This window comes from Homo sapiens, chromosome 2 (genome assembly GCF_000001405.40).
Source record: "Homo sapiens chromosome 2, GRCh38.p14 Primary Assembly".
Taxonomy (NCBI): Eukaryota; Metazoa; Chordata; class Mammalia; order Primates; family Hominidae; genus Homo; species Homo sapiens.
The window spans coordinates 5,181,540-5,187,252 of NC_000002.12; the positions used below are offsets into that span (position 1 = coordinate 5,181,540).

Sequence of the window (5,713 nt, forward strand, 5' to 3'; positions counted from 1 at the left end):
TTTATAGCCAGTTCTTAAATGGTTCCCAAAGATAAAGTTCCAATTAATACAATCACACTGTCTTAAAATCATAAACCACTAAAGCAAAAAGTACAATAAGCAAGTCAAATAAGTAAAAAAGAAGTTTTAGAATCAGATCCACAAAGCAAGAAAATATGATAGTCCCCAGAATATAAAATAGGTAGGTTTAATATGTTAAAACAAACTGAGGAGGGTGCCAAAAATTATCGCTGGGAAATAAAATAAACAGGCCCATTTGATACAGAAATTAGAATTCTGTTTTCTACAGAAAATAGAGTTTTGATAAAGAAATTAGAAATCTATTTTTCTACAGAAAATGGAATTTTTGAGATAAAATGTATTAGGTAAAATTGTTAATCAATGCAAGAGTTAATCAGCTGATAAAACAATTGTTGAGATTGAAAATAGATTAGTACAGTGATATGGTTTGTCTGTGTTCTCACCCAAATGTCATCTTAAATTGTAGTTCCCATAATCCCCATGTGTCATAGGAGGGACCTGGTGAAAGGTAATTGAATCATGGGGCTGGTTACCCCCACACGGCTATTCTCATGATAGTGAGTGAGCGCTGATGAGATCTGATGGGCTTTTCCTCTTTTTGCTCAGCACTTTTCCTTAATGCCACCATGTGAAGAATGACATGTTTCTTTCCCCTTCCACCATAATTGTAAGTTTCCTGAGGCCTTGCCAGCAATGCCAAACTGTAAGTCAATTAAACCTCTTTCCTTTATAAATTGTCCAGTCTCAGGTGTGTCATTATTAGCAATATGAGAACAGACTAATATAGTAAATTGATACCGGGATGTGGGGTACAGCTGTAAAGATATCCGAAAATGTGGAAGCAACTTTGCAACTGGGTAACAGGCAGAGGGTGGAACAGTTTGGAAGGCTCAGAAGAAGAAACAAAAATGTGGGAAAGTTTGGAACTTCCTAGAGGCTTGGAGGACTGAGAAGACAGGAAGATGTGGGAAAGTTTGGAACTTCGTAGAGACTTTGTTGAACGGCTTTGACCAAAATGCTGATAATAATATGGACAATAAGGTCCAGGCTGAGGTCATCTCAGATGAAGATGAGGAACTTGTTGGGAACTGGAGTAAAGGTTCTTCTTGCTATGCAAAGTGACTGGTAGCAGTTTGCCCCTGCCCTAGAGATCTGTGGAACTTTGAACTTGAGAGAGATGATTTAGGGTATCTGGTGGAAGAAATTTCTAAGCAGCAAAGCATTCAAGAGGAAGTGGAGCATAAAAGTTTGGAAAATTTGCAGCCTGACAATGCGATAGAAAAGAAAACCCCTTAACTCGTCATTTAGCATTAGGTATATCTCCTAATGCTATCCCTCCACCAACATGGCACATGTATACATAGGTAACAAACCTGCACATTGTGCACATGTACCCTAAAATTTAAAGTATAATAATAATAAAATTAAAAAAAAAATAAATAAATAAATGCAATTAAAAAAATAAATAAAAAGAAATTTATTTAAAAAGCCAAAAAAAAAAAAAAAAGAGAAAAGAAAACCCCTTTTCTGGGGAGAAATTCAAACCAGTTGCAATAATTTGCATAAGCAACATGAAGCCAAGTGTTAATCATCAAGACAATGGGAAAAATGTCTCCAAGGCACGTCAGAGAAATTCACAGCAGCCCCTCCTATCACAGGCATGGAGACCTAGGACGGAAAAACGGTTGCCAGGCTCAAGGCACCCTTTTGTTTTGTGCAGCCTTGGAACTTGGTGCCCTGTAGGCTAGCCCCTCCAGCTGTGGCTAAAAGGGTCTAACATACAGCTCAGACCATTGCTTCCGAGGGTGCAAGCCCCAAGCCTTGACAGCTTCCATGTGGTGATGAGTCTTCCGGTTTACAGAAGTCAAGAATTGAGGTTTGGGAAACTCTGCCTAAATTTCAGAGAATGTATGGAGATGCCTGGATGTATAGGCAGAAGTTTGCTGCAGAGGCAGGGCCCTCATGGAGAACCTCTGCTGCAGCAGTGCAGAAGGGAAGTGTAGGGTTGGAGCTTCCATACAGAGTTCCCACTGCAGCACCGCCTAGTGCATCTGTGAGAAAAGGGCCATCGTCCTCTAGACCCCAGAATAGTAGTTCCACCAACAGCTCGCACTGTGCACCTGGAAAAGATTCAGACACTCAACGCCAGCCAGGAAGGCAGCTTGGAGTGGGCTGTACCCTGCAAAGCCACAGGGGTAGAGCTGCTTCAGGCCATGGGAGCTCACCTTTTGCAACAACATGACCTGGATGTGAGACATGAAGTCAAAGAAGATCATTTTGGAACTTTAACGTTTAATGATGTTAAACTCTGCTGAGAGCAGAATGATATGGTTTGGCTGTGGCCCCAACCAAATCTCATCTTGAATTATACTTTTCATAATCCCCACTTGTCGGAGGGATCCAGTGGGAGGTAATTGAATCACGGGGATGGTTACCCCCATGCTGTTATTCTCATGATAGTGAGTGAGTTCTCACAAGATCTGATGGTTTTATAAGGGGTTTTCCCCTCTTTGCCCAGTATTTCTCCTTGCTGCTGCCATGTGATGAACGATATGTTTGCTTCCCCGTCCACCATGATTGTAAGTTTCCTGAGGCCTCCCCAACCATGCTGAACTGTGAGTCAATTAAACTTCTTTCCTTTATAAATTACCTGGTCTTGGGTATGTCTTTATTAGCAGCATGAGAACAGGATGAATGCAGTATCTCTAATTACATAGTAGAAAGGAAATTAATAATATAAAATATAATAGACATAGAGAATAAGAAAAGGTATAACATAATTCAAATTCCAGGAGGGAAGACAAGAGAATGAAAACGAGGCAATATGTAAAGACATATGGAAGAATATTATTCAGAATTAATTTTAAAAATCTAAGAATTGAAAGTCTTAAACATGATAAATAAAATGTTATTCAAAAAGTATATAAACCAAACAAAAACAAGGAAACTATTTTTTTTGAAACAGCTAACCTGTATAATAACAACCTGGTTTTCAAGATCAACAATGACAGCCGAAAACAATTTCACAAATAAAACTTTCAGTGAACGTTATGACCCAAGAATTTGTACACCATAAAAATCTTTTTATAAGTAGCACTAAAGACAAATTCAGATAAGCAGAAAGTTTTTTTAATGGACCCTTACTCAAAAAATGTTTTAAAAGAAATGTCAGAAAAAAATGAAAAAATGAATTATTTAAAAGGGGACTCTAAGACATTATCCTTTATTATTTAAACAACAATTTATAATAATAATACTTAACTTATAGATTTAAATATATATTTATACTGAAGTACTGGACAACAATTGTTTATAAGTCCAAAGGAATATGATAATATTTTTAATCTTAAAATACACAGAAGAAGGTATGTATTAATTTTATGTTTCACGAATGTAAATATCTATACATTTTTAAGGTAAAAGCTGAAGGAATAATGATCAAATATTAAAACTTCCAAACAATAAAAAGGTAAAATGTAATATTTTTAAAAACACTAAATCTAAATGCAAGCAAAAGAAATGTGAAAATTAAAAATGGAGACAAACAGAAATTAATATGATACAAAAAACTCCAAAAGCATCTGTAATCGTAATTAACATAAATAACAAAATAGAGAATTTAATTTTAAGCAATGAGAAATAATCTGTAACAGATTAAAGTTGTTCCAGGAAAATAAAAAAATCCTTCACAAAATGCACAGAAATCATCAAATAACTACAAAGGCAGTCAGGACTTGAGCCAAGAGACAAAAGAAAAGGGAAATATGGTGAAATAAACCTAGTACTTCTGTATGACTTGTTTTGCCACTCACGACATATGACACTTCAGAGTAGTCCAAGGGGTAGATTATATTACAAGCAAATGACCAATTAGAGGCTGACAATCCAAGCAGAGATATCGGGAATTTCATGATGCTGGAAATAAAAATTTGACTCAGATCTTATCAGCCTGGAGTGGCCCTGATGAACACTGGAGGGTTTAGTTGAAACTCCCCAAAGAATGGACTCTAGAACTAAGGGTGAATGGTTAAGTAGACCAAGCGCTACACAAAAACCCAACCTCTAGGCAACTTAATCCCTGACAGAATCAAGATGATCTGCACTTAATTTGTCGGGCATAAAGTTAGCAAAACGCTTTCTGGAAAAAACTATCTGGACTTCTATAGTTTTTAATAGAAAAGATGAAAGATTCTGTCAAAAATTATGTGATTCCCTGAGAGACAAGAGCAATAGTAAAGCTATCAGTGATCCAGTTATTAGTGTTATCAGAGATTTAAAAGTAGTCATGATCAAAATGTTTCAGGAAACCATGAAGAATTCCATTAGACCTCTGGGATTATTAAAGAGAAACAAATGTGTATTCGAAAACAAAAGCATATCATAAATTGAAAGTAAAACCATGCATATGGGGCTATTAGCATGTTTGACTATCCTGAAGAGAGTTAGTAGAAAATGTCAAAATCAAGTATAGAGAGACAATAAAAAGGGGGAGGAAGAAATACAGGGGGAAAAAACAACTAAAGATATATAAGACTTTGTGAAAAAGTCTAATGTTTTGTAATATTGGAATGTTAGAGTATAACAAGAATGAGGTGGAAACAATATTTACAAAGTCTTTGCCTGCAAAGAAACAACATGTCCTATGGTTAACTCTCCACAGAATGAAGAAAGCATAATGACAAACAAATGGCAAACGTAAAGTTCTGAAAGCAAACAACTGATGATCTGGAATTCTACACCTGGTGAAAATATTCTTCAAAAATGAAGACAAAAACATTTCCAGAAAAAGGAAAGTGAAAGATTTCATTGCCAATAAACCCATGCTAATATAAACACTACAAGGAGATTTTCCCTTTGAAGTATGTTCCTTAATAAAGGTATAAAAACACATGATAGAATTAGGGGTAATTCGAATATACCAGCAATTATATTAACTGTAAATGTATTAAATACTTTAAAAAGTCAATGACTGATAGGCTGTATTAAAGTAAAAACTTTATACTGCTTTTAGAACAAAAATTGACATAATGACCTCAAAAGATTGCAGATAAGAAGATCAAAAAGTTATACGCGATATTAATCATTAAAAGAAGATATAATTAAAGTAATAGATGTGTAGACTTTAAGGGAAGAAGCAATTCATAATGATGAAAATATATTCTATAAGAAATATATAATAAATCTGAATTTATAGGTAACTAATAATATAGCTTCAAAATATATAAAGCAAAATTTAAATAACTAAAAGTGATGTAAAAGTATTCACAAGTCAAAGAGTATATCACACTGTCTTAGGAGCTAATTTAACAAGTATTCTAAATAATCCTTAAGAATATAGAAAATGTAAATGATATGATTTATGAACTTGATCCAGTTGACATGTAGCGAATACTGCAAACAGAAGCTTTATTAGTAATTACATCATTAATTATTATTAATAATTTAATAATTATTGAGCTATCAAACTATTAGAAAACATAGACATTAGTCTTCATAATCTCAGATTCAGCAATTATTACATTTGACACCAAAAGTACTAACAACAAAAGAAAAAATTGATGAATTGGACTTTATATAAACTAAAGATGTTTATGTTTAAAGGACACTATCAAGAAATTAAAGACATCCTCACAGAATGGGTGAAAATATTTACAAATCATATATCTGATAATTGAATTGCATTCAGGACATA

General features: G+C 34.4%; 1 annotated feature.

The window, feature by feature from the left end:
• Positions 1,963-2,575: an enhancer, noted in NCBI's record as "H3K27ac hESC enhancer chr2:5323635-5324247 (GRCh37/hg19 assembly coordinates)". NCBI's record gives its function as "activates a minimal SCP1, AML or CMV promoter by ChIP-STARR-seq in naive H9 embryonic stem cells {active_cell/tissue: H9 hESC(naive)}" and the evidence as "EXISTENCE:reporter gene assay evidence [ECO:0000049][PMID:30033119]".